Here is a 22,466-nt window from a genome sequence, read left to right on the forward strand (position 1 = left end):
GAGTTCTCTGAAGCCAGTGACATACCCTGAAAAGACAAAAAAGTCCTCCTTTAATATAATGGAAAACTATGTATACATATATATAGTATATATATATATGTATATTCATATATATATATACACTATATATATATGAAATAAGGCTCATAGACAGCAGTGAAAACATCCCTAGAACTGAATGGCACCAAGAAACAGCATTGGGGAAGGGCTGGATAAGGAATCACACAGAAACACATTTGCTGGAAACAATCTCTCAGTGAGGCAGTGTAGAAGGCAAAACAATTCATTATGAACAAGCCTGCAACTGCAAGTTTTAGAGAAATTAAACCTAATAGAATTAAATCCCACACTGAGGCATATGTGATAAGGAACACCATTGTGAATTATGGTAAATTCCTGCTAGCCTGGAACAAAGTCATGGCCTCTCCCCAGAACCTCCTACAAATAGTCCTCCAAAGACTCAGACTTTATTATAAGAAACAATCAAAAAGGAACCAATCAAGGATCTATTCAAAGATGTAAGAAATGGGGAAGAAAGGAGAAAGAAACATAAATGGTAGATTAACACTCACCAGAAAAAAATGTTGCCACCTTTAAAGGGAAAGAAACCAATGGAATGCAGAATACAGCTCTCAAAATCCTCAAGAAAATCCAAGTATGATCCAGGAACTTTATACCCAACCAAACTGTCATTCAAGTAAAAGCATGAATGAGCATTCAAGTAAAAACAACATGAGCATTGAATCCATTTAAGGCAGGACTAAATCTTATACAAATGTGGGCATCATGGTTATGAAACAGAAAGTGAACATTTTAAATGCAACAATGCACAAATGATATAGAAGATGTAAACAAGATAAAAGTGTATATATACACCAGGTGCAGTGGCTCACACCTGTAATCCCAGTGACTTGGGAGGACAAAGCAAGAGAATCACTTGAGGCCAGGAATTTGAGACCAGCCTGGGCATGGTGAGACCCCATCTCTACAAAAAATTTTAAAAATTAGCCTGGTGTGGTTGGGCACACCTCTAGTCCCAGCTACTTGGGAGGTTAATGTGGGAGAATCACTTAAGCCCACGAGTTGGAGGCTGCAATGAGTGTGGTGAGCCATGATCATGCCACTGCACTTCAGCTCGAGCAACAGAGCAAGACCTTATCTTGAAACAAAATGAAAAAACAAAACACTAAAGTAAATAAGATATTTTCTAAAATCAGATGGTAGGTGAGTGGGAGAGAAAATGAAATAGAAATAGAATAATTAATTTACAAAGAAGTAACTGTGTTATTTAACACTATAGTTATCAAGGTAAGCAATATGGCTAGGCATGGTAGCTTATGCCTGTAATCCCAGCGCTTTGGGAGGCTGAAGTGGAGGGATAGCTTGAGGCCAGGAATTGTAGGCTGCAATAAGCTATGATCATGCCACTGCATTCCAGCCTGGGTGGGGCAGAGTGAGACTCTCTTAAAAAATTAAAAAATGAAAAAAGATTACCAAGGAAACATATCCAATATAAATATAAAAATAATATAAGGAATTCAGGGGCCGGGCACAGTGGCTCACACCTGTAATCCCAGCACTTTGGGAGGCTGAGGCAGGTGGATCACCTGAGGTCAGGAGTTCAAGACCAACCTGGCCAACATGGCAAAACCCCATCTCTACCAAAAATACAAAAAAATTACCCAGGCGTGGTGGCATGCCTGGCCACCACCATGAAGTAATGAAGTAATATCAATGAAGTAATCCCAGTTTCTAAGGAGGCTGAGGCAGGAGAATCGCTTGAACCCAGGAGGCGGAAGTTGCAGTGAGCTAAGATTGCACCACTGCACTCCAGCCTGGGTGACAGAGCAAGACTCCATCTCCAAAAAAAAAAAAAAAAAGGAATTCAAATATCATATAGAAAAATGTTTTTTAAAGAGTTATACATCATAGAATATTATGCAGCCATAAAAAAGAATGAGATCATGTCCTTTGCAGGGACATGGATGGAGCTAGAAGCCATTATCCTCAGCAAACTAATAGGAACAGAAAACCAAATACCACATGTTGTCACTTATAAGTGGGAGCTAAATGATGAGTGCACATAGAGGGGAACAACACACACTGGGGCCTACCGGAGGGCAAAGGGTGGGAGAAGGGAGAGGACCAGGAAAAATGACTGACAAATAATTGTTTAAACCCAAGACTTACATCGTGACTGCGACAAAATCCAATTCCATTATTAATAATCTGAAACAAGTACTTTTGAACTAGTTGGTAGTCTAGTCCATTTGGAAAGAGCTCCAAGTCATCAAACCCCATGACACATGTTTACCTATGTAACAAACCTGTACATCCTGCACATGTACCCCTGAACTTAAAAGTTAAAAAAAAACACAAACTTCTACCCTGCCTTCCCTTAAAACAGACATTTTACAATGTAAAAGAAGCGTTGCCAAGAAAAAAATAAAAGTTATAAAAGAGTATGATATTATACATAATAATAACTAATACTTACACAATGCTTACTATGTTCCAGGTACTATTCTAAGCACAAAAGCCTTATGAAATAGGTACAATTATTATCCTGCTTTATAGCTGAAGCAACTAACTCACACAGAGGTCAAGGAACTTGTCCAAGGTCACACAGCAATAACTGGTAGAGGCATGATTAAAACACCTTCTCAAAAAAACCAAAAAAACTAAACAAACCAACAAAAATGCCCCAAAACCCACAAATTTCATATCCTAATGGAACTATAAATTCTGACAAGTTCTATTTTATCAAATTAAGAAATCTAAATAATACTAGAATGTCACTTGTTCCATTGGGCTGTTTTGGCACATTTCTAATAGAAGAAAACATTACACTAAAACTTTTTACTCTTTAAAAATTCACACTATAGCACCAGATAATTTATCTTTCTCTACTCTATGTCAAGTCCTTCTTGCAAAGATTTCCACAGTAGCTCCAAACCTGCAATCATAATTAAAACAGACTATCGGCCGGGCATGGTGGCTCATGCCTGTAATCCCAGCACTTTGGGATGCCAAGGCGGACGGATCACGAGGTCAGGAGTTCAAGATCAGCCTGGCCAAAATGGTGAATCCCTGTCTCTACTGAAAATACAAAAATTAGCCAGGCGTGGTGGCAGGTGCCTGTAGTCCCAGCTACTCAGGAGGCTGAGGCATGAGAATCGCTTGAACCCAGGAGGCGGAGGTTGCAGTGAGCCGAGATCGTGCCACTGCACTCCAACCTGGGCAACAGAGCGAGACTCTGTCTCAAAAAAAAAAAAAAAAAAAGCACAGACTATCAGCTCCACAGGTTCTCTGTCTTTGTGCTTATATTTTTAATGGCAGATGGTTACCTTCTTTGGTAATGGCAGACTGAGTAACTCAGACCAGGCCTCCAATTGAAAATTCTTTTTTTTTTTTTTTTTTTTTTTTTTTTTGAGACGGAGTTTCGCTCTTGTTGCCCAGGCTGGAGTGCAATGGCGCGATCTCGGCTCATCGCAACCTCCTCCGCCTGCCAGGTTCAAGCAATTCTCCTGCCTCAGCCTCCCGAATAGCTGGGATTACAGACATGCGCCACCATGCCCAGCTAATTTTGTATTTTTAGTAGAGACGGGGTTTCTCCGTGTTGGTCAGGCTGGTCTGGAACTCCCAACCTTAGGTGATCCGCCCGCCTTGGCCTCCCAAAGTGCTGGGATTACAAGCGTGAGTTGCCGCGCCCAGCCATTGAAAATTCTTTAAAAGTTGGATTAATTTTCAAAAAATCTTCTTAAACATATAAAAGGCTAAAACGACAGTGAGGATTACTGGGCTAAAATCAAGAACATGAGAATCCAGAGAGTTAACCTCGGGACTCAAAGCTAATTTTGACATCAAGTAACAAGTGTGGAAATGAGCTTTGATTTTTGTGGCTCCCCAGGGCTAAAAGGGAAAAGCCAAAGTCCAAAAGCCTTCTAAAGGTGGGATATCTGAGAAACCACCTCCAATTAAAGCTAGGACCCAAAAAACTACATCCTCCAGAGTGAAAATGAACAGAAATAAACGAGGCATCACTAGACTTAATTTAACATCACGTTCAAGGAACTAAAAGCCTTGAACATGGATTCACATACTGGACTGGGAGCATCTCCATGTACCTGTCAGAAGCAAATGAATATCACCTCTGGACAAAGAAAACCCTACCTTAGCCTCAAAATATTTCTACAAATAAAATTTCAAAAACAACATTCAATTCTAAAGGATAATGAGAAACACAAGATAAAAAGAGACTATAAGCAAGAACTTTGAACTTACTAAGGAGGTCCTGAGCTGGTAGTGTGCTTGTATCAGACAGAAACCAGAACTGGGAAAATTTTAATGTAAATATTTTTCATTATGAAGGGTAGTTAATTACTAAAGGGGGTAAAAGAAGACTGTAAGGGATATGTTTAAACTAGCAAATACAGGAAGCCCCACTTTTAGGGCTGAAGGAAAATACATAGGGACAAGAAGGAACTAAAAATGTAGAAGAGCCCCCAATAACCACCAGACACATAGTCCTCATTGGAAATGGCCCAGCAGCCACAAAAATCTAAAGATTGCCAATAGTGAAAAAATTCACCAGAGCACACAGGCCAGAGATGGTTTGTAGAGTGGCCAGCAGTTGGTAGAGAAACTCACCAGAATGTGCAGGTAGGCCAGAACTGGTACTTGAAAGATGCTGAAGTGAGCTAACAGACCTCCCACATGGTGATGGGCTCACAGCTGTATAAAAAAAAAAAAAAAAAAAAAAAAAGCACACCAGAAGCTGGAAGAAAAGTCTCTTCCTCTTGCTAAGGACCGACAATGTCTTTCCATGCCCTCTATCTGTTGACAAAACCTAAAATCAAATCAGCGGGCAATAAAAAAGAAATGTTTACAGAGTCCAGTTCTAATATCACAAAGTAGGTAAAAAAAAGGAGTGATTTGGAGTTGAGAGACAATAAATTGATTACTGGCACAGTGCCCATGAACATGGAAGAATGAAATAAAAATTGTCTGTGGAGAAAAATATTTTTACCTTAGCCTCAAATTATTTTTAAAAAGTAATCTTTCAGGACAGGCGTGGTGGCTCCCGCCTATGATTCTAGCATTTGGGTAGGTTGAGGCAGAAAAATTGCTTGAGCTCAGTAGTTTGAGACTAGTCTGGGCAACATTCTGAGACCCTGTCTCCACAAAAAATTAAAAAAATTAGCTGGGCATGGTGGCACATGCCTGTAGTCCAAGCTTCAAAGCTACTTAGGAAGCTGAGGCAGGAGGACTGCTTGAATCTGGAAGATTGAGGCTGAAGTGAGCCATAATTGCACCACTGCACTCCAGCCTGGGTGACAGAGCAAGACCCTGTCTAAAAAATAATAATAATGATAATAATAGTATTTCAAAGATAAGGTTCAGCACAAAATTGAAGATAAGCAGGCACACAATGAAATAAGACACCATAAGTAAGAAATACCAGAACATATCGGCGATTGAAACAGATACAGAATGACTTCAGATATTGTAATTATCAGATATGGACTACTACTCTTTAAAAAAGAAAGCCAACCTCAAAAAATGGAGGGAACTTAAAACCATGAAAAGTAACATAACAGATGTGGACCCAAATAAAAATTCTAGGATAGAAAAGTATAATTACTTTTGTTCACAGTAACAGTAGACTTGGTAATTTGTAACAATTCTCCAACTGAATACAAGTAGAAAAGCTGGACAAAATATATAACATAACTACTTGGAGGAACGAAAAAGATAATATAGTAAAAAATACCTGGGCTAGGAAGACAGAAACCCAGAAAAGTGAGCCAGGCAATTAGGGCCAAATTTTTTTTAACCCAAGAAACATATGCCACTTTAGAGGGAAGACTAAGAGGATCAGTAGCACTTTTCACCATTTTGCAGGCCTAAGGTAGCAGTGATTGACGTTCAGGGGCCGTGAAGGTGAAAAGAAGGAGTACAGTGCTGGTGAAATCCTTTCATTTGGGTTAGCCCTAAAAGTCCTCAAGCTATCAGTAGTAGCTGATATGAATCTTAGTATATGAAGCTGAATTCTTAAATGGGACAGTAGCAGTATGTGAAGCAACAATTATAGCTGAGCATTTTTTTTTTTTTTTGAGATGGAGTCTTACTCTGTTGCCAAGGCTGGAGTGCAGTGGCATGATCTTGGTTTACTTCAACCTCTGCCTGCGAGGTTCAAGAGATTCTCCTGCCTCAGCCTCCTGAGTAGCTGGGACTATAGGCGCGCACCAACATGCCCAGCTAATTTTTGTATTTTTAGTAAGGACAGGGTTTCACCACGTTGGCCAGGCTGGTCTCGAACCCCTGACCTCAAGTGATCCGCCCACCTTGGCCTCCCAAAGTGCTGAGATTAACAGACATGAGCCACCATGCCCAGCATTTTTTTAAAATGACAAATGACATTATTTGATAGAAGCAAGAGCCATAAAATTAACAGACAAAAAAAAAAAAAAACCCACACCTAGGCATATTATTGTAAACTCCTGAAAACCAAAGAGAAAACCTTAAAAGTATCTAGAAGAAAATGGTTATTAAGGAACACAGTAAGACTGATGTCTGATTTTTTCAATACAAGCAACGGAGCCCAGAACAGTAGGATTCTATCTTGAACATACTGAATGTAATTAACTGACAACCCTGAATGCTATATCCTGAGAAAACGGCCTTTTTTTCTTTTTTTTTGAAGCGATGAGATCTCACTACAGTGCCCAGGCTGGAGTGCAGTGGCTATTCACAGGCATGATCATAGCACACCACAGTCTCAAACTCCTGGGCTCAAGTGATCCTCCCACCTCAGCCTCCTGAATAGCAAAGACTATAGGCCCACGCTATCGCACCGAGCTTGAAATAGTATTTTAAACACAAAGTAGAATACATACTTTTTTTTACACTAACAAAAATGAATAGAATTTCTTATCATCAGATTTGCTTTAAGGAAAATAAAGGAAGTGCTTTAAGCATAAGGAAATTGACCCCAGATGGAAACTCAGAAATGTAGGGAAAATTAAAGAGTAATAGAAAGGGTAATATTAGGTATATCCTAATAACTGCTGACTGTGAACAATTTTAAAAGGGATTTAACTATACACAGAATTTAACAATGTTACATAGCAGCAATAACACATATATCTGATGGGTGGAGGGGAGAAAGGAGGGGGTAACTGAAGTTAAAATTTCTAAGATTTTTGCATGTAAAAGTACCTGTTTGAGTATCAATAAGTCAAGTTTGTATATTAAAATATCTAGAACAATCTCTAAAACACCAGCAAAAGAATGTTTAACAAAATAATTTTTAAAAAGAAAAAACCTAGATATATGGAAGGCAACTAGGAAGAGAAGTATAAATCCAAATATGTAAGTTTTATATTAAATATAAATAGACCAAACACTCCAAGTAAAATACAAAGATTGTCAGACTGAATAAACAAAAGAAATAACTGTATCTGCTTATAAGAGATATACTTTACATCTAACGACACAGAAGGTTAATAGGAGAAAGGATTAAAAAGTATATATCATATAAATAATGATCAAAAGTGCAAACATACTAATGACGAAGTGTATGTTAAGACAAGAAGACTGGCCAGGCCTGGTGGCTCATGCCTGTAATCCCAACACTTTGGGAAGCCAAAGTGGCTGGATCACGAGGTCAGGAGTTTGAGACCAGCCTGGCCGACATGGTGAAACCCCGTCTCTACTAAAATACAAAAATTAGCCAGGTGTGGTGGCGGGCACCTGTAATCCCAGCTACTTGGGAGGCTGAGGCAGGAGAATTGCTTGAACCCAGCGGGTAGAAGTTGCAGCGAGACGAGATTGCACCACTGTACTCCAGCCTGGGTGACAGAGCAAGACTCCATCAAAAAAAAAAAAAAAAAAAAAAAAAAAAACAGACAAGAAGACCAAGAAACAAAAGGATTATACAATGTTCATGAACTGGATGCAATATTGTAAACACATCAATTCTCCACAAATTGATTGTATAAATTCAATAAATTCCTAGAGTGTTTATGAACATTGGTAAATTGATTCTAAAATTTATATGGAAATGCAAACAGACAAAAATAGGGAAGATGGTCTTATAGAAGAAGGACAAAACAGAAGGATTTATTCTACCAGATATAAAAACTTACAAACTAGGCCAGCTGCAGTGGCTCACACCTGTAATCCCAGCACTTTGGAAGGCTGAGGAGGGCGGATTGCTTGAGCCAAGCAGCTCAAGACTAGCCTGGGCAACATGGAAAAACCCTATCTTTACCCAAAAAAATACAAATATTAGCTAAGCATGGTGGCACACGCCTGTAGGCCCAGCTACTCAGAAGGCTGAAGTGGGAGAATCACTTGAGCCTGGGAGGCAGAGATTGCAATGAGTCAAGATCATGCCACTGCACTGCAGCCCGGGTGATACAGCAAAACCCTGTCTCAAAAAAAAACCTACTAACTAGAATAAACATGATTGTGGGCTACTGGCGCAAGCTTAAACAAATAGACCAATGGGACAGAATAAAATCTTACCTATATAGGAGAACGTGTGGCAAAAGGAATATTCAGAACAGTGGGGAAAAAGATGGTATTTTCAATAAATGTTTCTGGGACAACTGGATAGCCATAAGGGAAAAGTCATAAGATTTGACTGTGTCAAACACCATTATTAAGATCAAGAACAAGTATTAGATAATTAGACTTTAACAAATCCCTAGTGTAACCACTAAAAGACAGAAACACAATGTAAAATTTCCAAGTTATTAGAAAAAAAGGAATGATAAATGTAATCAATCCAAGTAACAAAAGACAAAGAAATAGAGAACTGGTAATACAAATAGCACATATTAAGGTGGTAGATATATATATTCAAAATACATCAGATATTATATTACAAGTAAATGGAATAAATGCTCCAATTAAAAGGGAAATATTATCAAACAGGAAAAAAGCAAAATATAACTATACGGTTTTCACAAGAGATACATCTAAACAAGAATTCAGAAAAATTAGGGGGCCAGGCGCGGTGGCTTACACCTGTAATCTCAGCACTTTGGAAGGCTGAGGCAGGCGGATAACCTGAGGTCAGGAGTTTGAGACCAGCCTGGCCAACATGGTGAAACCCCATCCCTACTAAAAATACAAAAATTAGCCAGGCGTGGTGGCGGGCGCCTATAGTACCAGCTACTCAGGAGGCTGAGGCAGAATTGCTTGAACCCAGGAGGCAGAGGTTGCAGTGAGCCAAGATTACGCCACTGCACTCCAGCCTAGATGACAAGTGTGAAACTCCATCTCAAAAAAAAAAAAAAAAGAATTCAGAAAAATTAGAAGTAAAAATATGGAAAAGATTTACTATGGAAACGCTAACCAAAATTAAGCTAATGCATGTACTCTTATTAATTTCAAATAAATTAGATCTTAAAACAAAATACTGGCCAGGTGTGGTGGCTCACACCTATAATCTGAACACTTTGAAAGGCCGAGGTAGGAGGATTACTTTAGCTCAGGAGTTAGAGACCAGCCTGAGCAACACAGTGAGACCTTATCTCTACTGAAAATAAAAAAATTAGCCAGGCATAGCGGCACACACCTGCAATCCCAGCTACTTGGGAGACTGAGGTGTAGGATTGCTTGAGCCCAGGAGTTCAAGGCTGCAGTGAGCCATGATCATGCCACTGCACTCCAGCCTGGAGGACAGAGCAAGACCCTGTCTCAAAAAAACAAAATGAAACGACCGGGTGTGGTGGCTCACACCTGTAATCCCAGCACTTTGGGAGGCTGAGGTGGGCGGATCATGAGGTCAGGAGATCGAGACCATCCCAATCAACATGGTGCAACTCCGTCTCTACTAAAATACAAAAAAAAAAAAAAATTATCCAGGCATGGTGATGCACACCTGTAGTCCCAGCTGCTTGGGAGGCTGAGGCAGGGGCATCACTTGAACCCGGGAGGAGGAGGTTGTAGTGAACTGAGATAGCACCATTGCACTCCAGCCTGGTAACAGAGTGAGACTCCGTCTCAAAAAAAACCAACGAAACAAAATATTACTATAATAAAAAGGGTTATTGCATAATAACAAAAGATTTAACTCAACAGCAAGATATAATAATTCTAAATATAACACACTAATAATACTGTTTCTGTTTATAAAAATAAACATTAACTGAACTACAATGAAAAGTAGAAAAATCAATAATCACAAAGGAAGACTTTAACATATTTCTTCTCAGTGTTGGATAAAACAAGCATGTAAGGAAAATAAATAAGAATTTGGAAGATTTGAACAACACAATTAACATGAACATATATGAAATACGTTTCAAGAACAAGAGGGTTTTTTTTAGTTGACTATATTCTGAACAAAAAGCAAATATCAAGAAATTTCAAAGAAATAAATTCTTATATGGTGTATACTCAGAACATAGGGCAGTTGTCTCACAAATAAATAACCAGGAAAGAATAACCTAGAAAATGTCCATGATTGGAAATACAGAAATATACTTTTAAATAACTCAGGGATTAAGAAAAATATAAGAGAAATGAGAAAATATTGTTAACAATCAAAATTTCCAGGATACATACCAAGCTGTTCCTACAGGAAAATGTATATCCTTAAATGCATATTTGAGGGGAAAAAAGTCTGGAAATTAGAGAAGCATCTATCTCAACAAATTAGGGAAAAGGGCTGCAAAATAAACCCATACAAATAAGTAGAAAAAATGAAATAATAAAGAACAAAAATTAATGCTATTCCTCCTAACAAGTCATCAAATCTGGGGTGGTCTTTGGGACTCCTAACACAGACTATAGATAGATGATTGATAAATACACAGAAAGATATAGAGAGAAGGAACAAACACTTTTAAAATCAGGTTTACATTCACCAGATAAATGAATTTGCATATCTAATCATTGTATTTCTTCTTATTGCCAAAAAAGAAACTTATACTCATATTTTTTGATTCAATATATGCATTTACTCACCTTTAGTAACTTGATTTCTCGCATTGCAATCTTTTTAACCATTTTGTCATCGTCACTTTCTAAGAACTTCTTTATGGCCACAATTCTTCCAGTATCTTTATTCCTACACTTCATCACCATTCCATAACTCCCTTCTCCAACCAAACCCAGGTTTTCATATTTTTCCATTTTAATTTAAAGTCCGTAGAAACTTTTTGCTGTGAAAACCAAAACATAGATTTAACAAAGTTGAGTACGTTAATTTCCTCCGCCTTCCCAGCAAATTAATTCTTCCCTGCTTGTTTTCCATATTAGTCACTGTGTTCATGGCTGTCCTGTATTAATTCACAATTTCCTAGTGTTTCTACATGTAAGCTATGTTTCAAAATGGTCACACACATTAAGCTATGTTTTCAAAATGGTCACACACATTTCATAATAGACAACGCAAATGGAATTGAAGCCATTAACTTTAAATTACTAAATGTCATGTTAATGAAATTCCATATATTTTTAATTCCAATAAAGCAATACTTGAGCTATCACACATAACAATTACAACTCACTTTAAAAAGCACAATTCCAGACCGGGCGCAGTGGCTCACGCCTGTAATCCCAACACTTTGGGAGGCCAAGGTGGGCGGATCACAAGGTCGGGAGATTGAGACCATCCTGGCTAACACGGTGAAACCCCGTCTCTACTAAAAATACAGAAAAATTAGCCGGACTTGGTGGCAGGCGCCTGTAGTCCCAGCTACTCGGGAGGCTGAGGCAGGAGAATGGCGTGAACCCGGGAGGCGGAGCTTGCAGTGAGCCAAGATCACACCACTGCACTCCAGCCTGGGCAACAGAGTGAGACTCCATCTCAAAAAAAAAAAAAAAAGCACAATTCCAGCCTGGGCAACATACTGAGACTCTGTCTCTACAAAAGACATTTTTAAATTAGCTGGGTGTGGTGGTGTATGCCTGTGGTCCCAGCTACTTGGGAGGCTGAGGCAGGAGAATTGCTTGAGCCCAGGAGGTTGAGGCTGCAGTGAGCTGTGATGGCACTGCACACCAGCCTGAGCAACGGAGCAAGAATCTGTCTCAAAAACAAAACAAAACAAATAAACAAAATGCACAGGCCAGGTGCAGTGGCTCACACCTGTAATCCCAGCACTTTAGAAGGCGGAGGCGGGCAGATCACCTGAGGTCAGGAGTTTGAGACCAGCCTGGCCAACATGGTGAAACCCTGTCTCTACTAAAATACAAAAATTAGCCAGGCATGGTGGTGCACCCCTATAGTCCCAGCTACTCGGGAGGCTAAGGCAGGAGAATCCCTTGAACCCAGGAGGCGGAGGTTGCAGTGAGCCAAGATAGCACTATTGCACTCCAGCCTGGGTGACAGAGTGAGACTCTGTCTCAAAAAAAAAAAAGCACAATTCCTTTTCACTCAAAGATGTATAACTGAATTTGGTGGGGGATTTTGTTTGTTTGTTTGTTTGTTTGTTTGGGACGGAGTCTTGCTCTGTTGCCCAGGCTGGAGTGCAGTGGTGAGATTTAGGCTCACGGCAACCTCCACCTCCTGGGTTCAAGCAATTCTCCTGCCTCCGCCTCTGAGTAGCTGGGATTATAGGCGTGAGCCACCACACCCGGGTAAGTTTTGTATTTTCATAGAGATGGGGTTTTGCCATGTTGCCCAGGCTGATCTCAAACTCCTGACCTCAAGTGATCCACCCACCTTGGCCTCCCAAAGTGCTGGGATTGCAGGCGTGAGCCAGAGCGCCCGGCCTGAATTTAGTTTTAATAAAGATCAACTTTTTTGTTACACTGGATTTAGATCAATGTTGGAAATACTTATGCACCTTCCACTTAATTGGAAAAAATATTTGATCACATAACAAATTAACACAGAGCATCTTTCATAAAATATTTTTCTTTACTTTTTTTTTCTTTTTTTTTTTTTTTTTTTTGAAACGGAGTCTCGTGCACTGGCGCGATCTCGGCTCACTGCAACCTCTGCCTCCCAGGTTCAAGCGATTCCCTGTTTCTGCCTCCCCAGTAGCTAGGGTTACAGGCACCGCTACCACGCCCAGCTAATTTTTGTACTTTTAGTAGAGACGGGGTTTCGCCATGTTACTGTTACTATATTGAACTTAGAAAATAAGAGTAATGACATCGGTATATAAGCAGATTTTTAAAATTAAATTAAATTTTATTAAATTTAATGTAATTATTAAATTAAATTAAATATTAGTAGTACCAAGTACAGTAAAAGTATTTCAAAAACCCTGTTAATGATTACTCACTATAAGTATAATTTGAATTTGTGTTTGAAATTTTTTTTTTTTTTTTGAGACGGAGTCTTGCTCTGTCGCCCAGGCTGGAGTGCAGTGGCGCGATCTTGGCTCACTGCAAACTCCGCCTCCCGGGTCCACGCCATTCTCCTGCCTCAACCTCTCGAGTAGCTGGGACTACAGGCGCCTGCCACCACGCCCAGCTAACTTTTTGTATTTTTAGTAGAGACGGGGTTTCACCGTGTTAGCCAGGATTGTATCGATCTCCTGACCTCGTGATCTGCCCGCCTCGGCCTCCGAAAGTTCTGGGATTACAGGCGTGAGCCACCGCGCCCGGCCTTGAAATTTTTTACTCATATTATATGACATTTTCTGAATAAAGGCAATCCTAAGAGAATCTTTCTTGTTTTACCAATGATTGACGAAGGTCCAGCAATCATTGGACAAAATGCTTTCGTACAGAAAAAAATTATTTCAGTCCAAATACAGATAGATTTTAACTATCTATTATTTCAGTAATAATAGATAAAAAATTATTTCAGTCCAAATACAGATAGATTTTAACAAGAAATAATTCTTGCCTGTTGTATTAATTGTATACTTACGGCAATCTAAAATTTACTCAGATCGTGAACTGTTTTTCCTATTTCTCTATTGGAACAGTGATGCAAAGACAAAACAAATATTCTCTTTGTTCTAGCAAACTATGCTAATCCAATGTATACAATACGTTTTCCACACTTGACATATAATAGTTTGAGATTTTATAATATATATATTTTTAATGTAGCTATATGTGGAGAACCAGAAGATTGATCTTGAGGGGTGGGAAATGAAAACAATACCAATGAACATCGACTTAAATTATTATTTTACTACCAGTTTTCATAGTAGATTCTACTACAAACTTTTTACAGAGCAGTGTCCCAGACACTAACTTTCCATGCATTTGACATTTTACCTTCTATTCCACTTCCATTAACTATTTTTTAATAAACTGTTTGTATTTGAAAAAAAAAATCTCCATATAATTCTATCCCTTCTTAATTTTTTTCTCTTCCATTAAGAGAGTATGTTTTATTAAGCACTAGGCTTTAGGTTTATCATACCAATGACAAAAATAGCTTGAATCTATAACCTGGATTATTTTAAAACATTTTGTAATTGATGTCCTCAATATTTGAAAGCACAAAGTGAACCAAAAAAAATGACTTTAAGCATGTCTGAGGTGTTCTGAAGCATATCCCAAGCTAACATTAATGCAAGTTGACTGCTTCAAGTTTATTCTCCCAACCAATTGCATATCTGGACACACCACATTGAACACACCTGCTTTTTCAAGTGACACTGTCCACAAATACTTTAAAAGTATCACAGCCTACAAAGCCTCCTGTTTCCTGAAACAGTTACTCATAAACTATAACTTCTCATGCCTTCTACTCTTGAACGGAAAGGTAATACAAACGAAAAAGAAACCTGGCCAATGGGCAAGGTGTTATTTCTGGATGGTTCTAAAAGCAACAATTTTGATAAAAATATTTGGAGAATGCTAATTTTTTATTTTGTTTAAGACAGATTAAAGGGCCGGGAGCGGTGGCTCACGCCTGTAATCCCAACACTTTGGGAGGCCGAGGCGGGCGGATCACCTGAGGTTGCGAGTTCGAGACCAGCCTAACCAACATGGAGAAACCCTGTCTCTACTAAAAATACAAACTTAGCCGGGCGTGGTGGTGATGCCTGTAATCCCAGCTACTTGGGAGGCTGAGGCAGGATAATCGCTTGAACCCAGGAGGCAGAGGTTGCGGTGAGCCGAGACCATGCCATTGCACTCCAGCCTGGGCAACAAGAGTGAAACTCCGTCTCAAAAAAAAAAAAAAAAAAAAAAAAAAAAAAAAAAAAAAAAGATTGAAATCTTTTATAGATCAAAGAACGAGATAATAGAAGCTTTAAAACGTACTATACTTACCGTTTCTTCAATCCGTTCGCATAGAAAGACCCAAAGGTTTTCAACTTGGAAACAAATTTGAGGTGAAATGCATATGGTTCGCAGGTCCAAAAGATGCTGCCTAGCAAACTAGCAATTCCAGCGCTGTTGTGATTTCTTCTGCGGACGCAGTCACGAGTCCAGGGCGAAGCAGGCAGGGAGGCAGGTGGGCCTCGGTCCGCCGCAAGCTCACACTTAGGAGGACCACGGGCCGCATGCTGTCGTCGTCAAGGCAACGACCTCACTCTGTCCCCAACCATAGGCACAAAGTCTTGGGAGACAGATACGGCCCAGGTCAGAATGCGTTCACGGCAGGCACCAACACCTGTGAAGGCCAAGGGCTAGAGAGCAATTAGCTGGGTGAGAGGCACCACCTCCCAGCTCGTAAGGCGCCCAGTACCTGGAGCCTGGGAACCTGCACCGCTCCAACTACCCCTGGGCGAAGGCGTTGGCCGCGGAGCTGCAAGGGGGGGCGGTTTCTCACCCGCCCCGAGAGCGCCAGGCCTCCCTTCTTCTGATTGGCCGAGCCGAGTCGTCACGAGCCATGATTGGCTCAGGGCCAACCACCCCGCCCCTTCACCTAGGGCTCGGCCCAGGTTCTGCTCCCTGACACGCAGAGGCCCTGCGTCCCCACACGCCTTGGTTCTCGTCAGGAGGCGCCTTTCTGCCTTCCCCAGCGGGAGGAGGCGATTGTGATGCCCACGCGAAGGGTAAAGGTGGCGGTTATGTAGGACTGCGAAGACTATGCAAAATGCGATACGGTTTCCCTCATAGCATCGCCGCTGGGGCAGGGGCGGGCGCCGGGCGCCCTGAGTCGCGTAGGCGCGGCCTGACCGGGATTCCATGCTTCCTTTCTGTTCTGGGCGGTGGGGCCAGTGTGAGCCAGGTAGGAGATAACGGTGACAGTTTAGGAGGTGATGATTAGTAGGCGAGGCAAGGTGGAAGAAGGTAGGTGATGACAGACCTGACGTTAGGAGGGACCTTGGGAAGGCCAGTCTGGCCATTGAAAGTGAGGGAAAACACTGAGATGGAGGAAGGGGAAGAGAGGGCATGAGTGGAATGGGAAAGCGCTGGGATGGCTGGGGATCTGGAGGACACGCACAACACCCGCGTATGGCAGCCAAATGGGGTGGAGTTAGGGCTTGCGATAAAACTTGCCTTAAATGCAAAAATGCAGCTCAATCCACGACTGAGCAAGACTGGTAGGTCAGAATCATGCACAGGCTTAAATCACACAGGAACAGAGCTTACCCCATTTTCAAAGAATCTGAGGCAGCGAGGAGGCCATAAGGCCAGTAAAATAACACTTTCAATCATGATAACTAAATGTTCATGATCATTTTGGTCTCGAAACTACTTTGATTTAGGGAATAGAGTGTCCTGGATAGACAAATGTCTACCATATACCCTAGTCAATATTAAGGTATTAATCATTAATGTTAAGGTATTGATTCCTTCTTGTACATTAAGAAATAGACATTCTTTTTATAGTCTTTTGTGAGTTTGGTTAGTTTGCATTAATCTCCCAGTGGTTAATTACCTTGGTCAGACTGCTTAAAATCTAGTTCCTGAACCTGTAATATTGAGAACCAGACCTGAGGCCTAGTTATGGAAAGAATAGAATTATTTGGTCAATTCAAGATGTGACTCTTAGTGTAGCAATTAGCTCTGTCCTTAGCTGTGTCCAAGTTGCGAGAAGCCCTGTCCCATTTGGTACCTCTATAGGCTATAAGAGAATCTGATGAACTTCTTTTATATGGGGGTAGATTCAGTTTTGTTGGGCCTGAAGCTTAAGAACAAGAGCGCAAAACTATTTTACTTTTGCAACTTTATAATCATATTCAACCGTATAACATTTTAAGGCCCCTTCATGCAAGAGGCCTAGAAGCTTCAATAATCTATTTATATCTCACAGGGAACCAAAGGATAAAGACTGAAAATACTGGATTTGGCGAACAAGTGATGCTTTAGGAAACAATTTCAGCCAGATGCGGTGGCTCATGCCTGTAATCCTAGCACTTTGGGAGGCCAAGGCGGGCAGATCACCTGAGGTCAGGAGTTTGATACCAGCCAGGCCAACATGGTGAAACCCTGTCTCTACTAACAATACAAAAATTAGCTGGGCATGGTTGTGAACGCCTGTACTCCCAGCTACTTGGGAGACTGAAAAAAAGAAAACAAACAAACCAAAAAAAAACAATTTCAGTAAGAACTGAGTTTGAAAGCCAGTTGTAGAGGACAGAGGTTATTAAAGACTTACACATTCTGGCCATCTACAGGATTGTTAATAGAGAAGGTATTATGTAGAAACAGGATTGTGTTACTATTTTTTCTTTCTTTTCTTCTGAGGCGGAGTCTCACTCTGTTGCCCAGGCTGGAGTGCAGCAGCACGATCTTGGCTCACTGCAACCTCTGCTTCCTGGGTTCAAGCGATTCTCCTGTCTCAGCCTCCCAGGTAGCTGGGATTACAGGACCCCACCACCACGCCTGGCTAATTTTTTTCTTTTTTTAGTAGAGGCAGGTTTTCGCCATGTTGGTCAGACTGGTCTCGAACTCCTGACCTCAGTTGATCCGCCCGCCTCAGCCTCCCAAAGTGCTGGGATTACAGGCGTGACCCACCGCACCCGGCCTATTTTTTCTTTTTAAAGAGGGAAATATTTATAGGGAAAAAGAGTGGGGAGAGACCTTAAAGGGGCAAGAAAATGAATAATTAATGAAAAACCAAGGAGAGGTACTGAAGAGTAGGTAATAATATATGAGAAGGGGTTAGGCTTGAAGAGGTTTAGAGAAAATGGAAAAAACTGAGAAAAGTGTAGGGCATACACTGTGGGCCCAGGCCATCTCAGTAAAAGAACTTTATTTTTGCATAAAAAGGTAATGGTGAGATAGAGGCTTAAGGATTTGAGAGCAGAAATACGTTAGAATAGTTAAGAAGTCATTTTGATATAAAAGGAACACAAAATAGTAAAAATGTGCTCACTTGAGCCTGGGTACCATGAATTTACAGTGAACCAACTGACACTGTTGCCCAGAATTGGGCAACCCCAAAGGAAAGAATGGAGAAAATAGATGATATATAAGCTGCCTCTTTTAGAGAACTGGTAATGCAAAAAGATTAAACAAAGGAGTTAAGGAATTTCAGAACAAGGATCACTGAGAAAAAAAAAAGGAATCAAAGATGCTGAAGAAAATACCATTAAAATTGCTTGCCATGGGCTCCTGCTAAATAGGAAGATAAATTTTGACAGCAGTTAGCTAATAAACTGAAAACGGAGGCACTGAGGGTCTGGAAGTCATCATAGGCATGAATAATAAGTTTAAAGGAGCAATATAGGAGGAAAAAGTTATCAGAGAAAGCAGTTTGTGTATTCCAGATGTTGGAAATGGCACAGGATGATCAGTTCTAAAGGGTGGAGTATTTGGCTGTTCCTTGGGTAGCTGAAGTTGAGTGGAAAATGTCATTGAGTTCAAAGAAACTTGAGGTCACAGTATGAAAAATTCATTAACATGAACTACCAAGTAGGACTATAGTGGAAGAGGCTGAGAAAGACATTAATCAGTGAAGAAAGTGAAAATGTTCTAAAAATCTAAAGAAAACAGTATGGGAGTGCATGAGGTAGATGTCAAGAGAGGACAGCTTGAGAGATGGCAATGGCAATGAAATAAATGTGAAATAGATTAAGGACCATATGACCCAGCAATTCCACTTCCAGGTATTATAAGAGAAATAAAAACATGTTCACATAAAAACTTACACACAAATGCTCACAACAGCATTATTAATAACCAAAAAAACAGAAAAAACCCAAATGTCCATCAGCGGAGGAATAAAATTTGGTGTATTCAATTTAATGGAATATTACTCAACCATAAAAGGAAGTGCTGATACATGATGGATGAATCTTGAAAACACTATGCCAAGGGAAAGAAGCCAGACACAAAAAGGCACGTGTTATATAAAGTGTCCAGCCTAGGCAAATCCATAGAAACAGAAAGTACATTAGTGGTTACCAGGGGCTGTGGTTAGATGGGAATGGAAAGTGACTACTGGTAGGTATGAGGTTCCTTTTTGGGGTGATGAAAATGTTCTGGAATTAGGAAGTGGTGATGGTTATATAACCTTGTGAATATACTAAAAACCACTGAACTGTATGCTGAAAAAGGTGAATTTTATGTAATTTGTATCTCAACTTAAAAATAATAGACTAGAGGGGGATTAGAAATTAAAGCCTGCCCAGAAATATTTTTCAATGATTTTATATATTTTAGTTTAGAGTAGACCCATTCTTCCTCACATTAGCAATCATCTCTTAAATTACTCTCCACAACAATCATTTTCTACATATCTTGACATCCAAAAAACAATGTGCTTGGGCCCTTTTCTTGCCCGTCCACCACTAGTCCCCCCGGGCCCCATGAGATCCTGACTGATGAGGTTTTGGCATCACCTCAATTGAGTCACCAAGTGAAAGGGCCGTAAAATCTTTAGACTACAAAAGGTTCTTCATTATCAGTATATTATAGAACATGCAACTATGAATACATTTCCCCATTCTATTAAGAAAATGGACTGACTTATTTTGAAGTTCTAAGTTTTTTTGATGGGAGGACATTTGCTAAACCTAGTTTAATGACTTGATTACTACATTAAAAGATTATGAAGACAACTAGATTTGAAAACCTAAAGTATAATGTGCCACTTATTTTGCCAAGTTCAACATATATCACACCTTGCTGTATCAGCCACCAGCATCTATACCATAGTGGTTGTGAACATAGGAATCCATTCCTCAAATATTAAAAATACTATATATTCTTTCCTACTTAGATAACCATGGTAATAAATAAAATAGTATACCTTCTGTTTGTTTGCACTAGTAACATGCCTCTTATTACCCTCACTTACTTTTCATTTCCTTCTAGTTTCACCCCATTCCTCTGTTCATCCTTATAGCAAAACTACAGAAAAAGTTGGTGTTCATTAGTTCAATTTCCAATATCCAGTCCTCTCTTGGACTTCATCCTTATTACTTCATTGAAATAGTTCTTACCAAAGTCACTATGACCTACATCCTGCCAAAGACATCTGTAGTGGAGCTTACTAGCTACTCACAATAAGCTGATTTCTTTTTTGCCTGTATGCATGGCTTATTTTTTGCAACCTCCGTGGAAGTTGGGAATGGCTATGTGATTGAATTCAAGCCAATGGAATATGAGATGTGTACGTTCCCATTCCTGGCACATAAAAATCTAGCACTCATGATCCTCCAAAATCTTTTTCCCTTTTAGTCGGCTATATTAGAGATGATTCCGTGATCTTGAAGCCACCTATTGAAGTTGGTAGAGCCTTCATTCACCTGTGTCCCTAAATAGCTACGAGGGGGGAGGGCCAGACCACTGGTCTTTTCACTGCCACTCTAATACTTTTTACAGGAAGCAGGGAAAAAAAAAAAAACTATTGTATCTGAGCCATTAGACATTTTGGTATCTATTTATTGTAGCAGTTAGCCCACTCTAATTCACTTGCTATTTTATTTGAACTTTCAGCAGCATTTGACACAACTATCTATCCTTTCCTTCTGATAAACTCTTGAAACTTGGCTTTCCGTGACACCAATACTTATCATATTTTGTCTCATTGTTTTCTTTGTATGCTCCTCTCCTGTACTATAACCCTAAGTTTTGGAAGTATCTGAGGTCTCATTCATCAGCCTCATCTCTTCTATACATACTCTTCTTAAGTGATCTCATCTAATCCAAAGGCTGCAAAGATCTGTTTGCACCACTCACAGCACAGACTTCTCAGAACTCCAGAATCACACATTTAATTGCCTGACATTTCTTCTTGGATATCCAATTGGCATGTGAAACTTAACATGGCTAAAACAGAACTGTTGATTTCCCCTCCACAATCCACTTCTCCTCTTTCCCTATGTGAGTACCATAGCCTTCCATCCAAGCTGCCCCCAAATCCTATGAGTCATCCTTCAATCTTCCCTCCCTCACATTCAAAATCCAATCCCTAAGCAACTTTATAGGTTCTACCTTGAAAACATATCCTGTTAACTGACCACTAACCACCGTCTCCACTGCTACAACCCTTATCCAAGCTACCATCACCTGTCACCTGACAGCTCCTAATTCAGATCGCATCAACGTTCAGATCCCTACCATCCCGAGTAAAATTCAGAATACAAGGCCACCCTCAATTTAGCTCTTCCTACCTCTTAATGTCTGCCTACCTCTTAATATCATCTGCATTATCATTAGAGCCATATTGGCCTTCTTATTGCCCTTTAAGATACCAAGCTCCTTCCAAAAACAGGGCCTCCAAATTTTCACTTGGAACACTTTACCCCTAGATTTACTCAAGTCTGCCTTCTCTTCAAATCTTAGGTATACCTCTTTTCATTACCATCCTGGGTAGAACAGCCCCATCTCCAGTCACTATTCTCCTGTACTAGTTCTACTCCAATTAGCCATGTGGTCTTGAACAAATAGCTAACCCTTTGTGCCTGAGTTAACCCTTCTGTAAATCATACTACTCTCATAGGATTACCATTAGGATTAAATAGGTTGTATTCTGCCCAGGACACATCAGAACTGATATTAACATGCTTGCTGCCTCTCTCTCTCAAAATGCAAATTTCCTAAAGGTAGGTTGTGTCTGCTGTACTTCCAGCCAGCATCTAGGCAAGTTTCTGGCACATATTCAGTGCCAATATTCATTGATGGCTATACAAGTTCTTCTCACATCTTTCACATATATGTGTTACTTTATTATTTGTGCCTGCCTTGAAATACCACTCTAAGTTATTCCAAGTCACCTTCCAATGAAATGTCTCACATCTGCTTTCTATTCCAAAAAGCTTGTCACTGTGTCAGGCAGTTTTTTGTTTGTTTGTTTTTAACCTCTCCAAGCTTCAGTGCACCTCTTAAAAAACAAAAAGAGGGTTATCAGAATAAAAGGTATAATGTATATAAAATGACAGTTCATCAAAAAATATTCCCTTTTTTCAGTTCATAGACACAGTATTAAACATCTATTAACTTCTGTTCCAAGTCCCCACTCTGCCTTATTACTTAATGCTTTGCTTCCTCAATATAATTCCTGATTAAGGGATCCTTAATTTTAGGCCTGCTAGTGCTAGAGACTGAGTTTACAATTTTCTAAAATAAAGCAAGGATAAAAATGCATTCCATTCAAAGTTTACATTCCTGGTGTTTAAAACCCCTTTTCTAAA

At 40.0% G+C, this 22,466-nt stretch overlaps 1 protein-coding gene across 12 annotated transcripts in view; it reads right to left on the reverse strand.

Moving 5' to 3' along the window:
* CDKL2 (cyclin dependent kinase like 2) overlaps nt 1–15,691 on the reverse strand; it is a 54,033-nt gene extending 38,342 nt beyond the window's left edge. For 11 of the 12 annotated variants that reach the window (XM_017008811.2, XM_017008810.2, NM_003948.5 and 8 more), the window contains exons 1-2: nt 15,205–15,691; nt 10,984–11,180 (exon numbers count right to left, since the gene is read on the reverse strand). In XM_017008811.2, the coding sequence (XP_016864300.1) occupies nt 10,984–11,151 (168 nt within the window). In that variant the 5' untranslated portion in view covers nt 11,152–11,180; nt 15,205–15,691. Of the gene's footprint in view, nt 1–4,650; nt 4,735–10,983; nt 11,181–15,204 lie in introns of those variants that run through there. The other variant, XM_047416386.1, reaches the window with a different exon arrangement.
* Nucleotides 15,692–22,466: the final 6,775 nt, after the last annotated feature.

This window comes from Homo sapiens, chromosome 4, assembly GCF_000001405.40.
Source record: "Homo sapiens chromosome 4, GRCh38.p14 Primary Assembly".
NCBI lineage: Eukaryota > Metazoa > Chordata > Mammalia > Primates > Hominidae > Homo > Homo sapiens.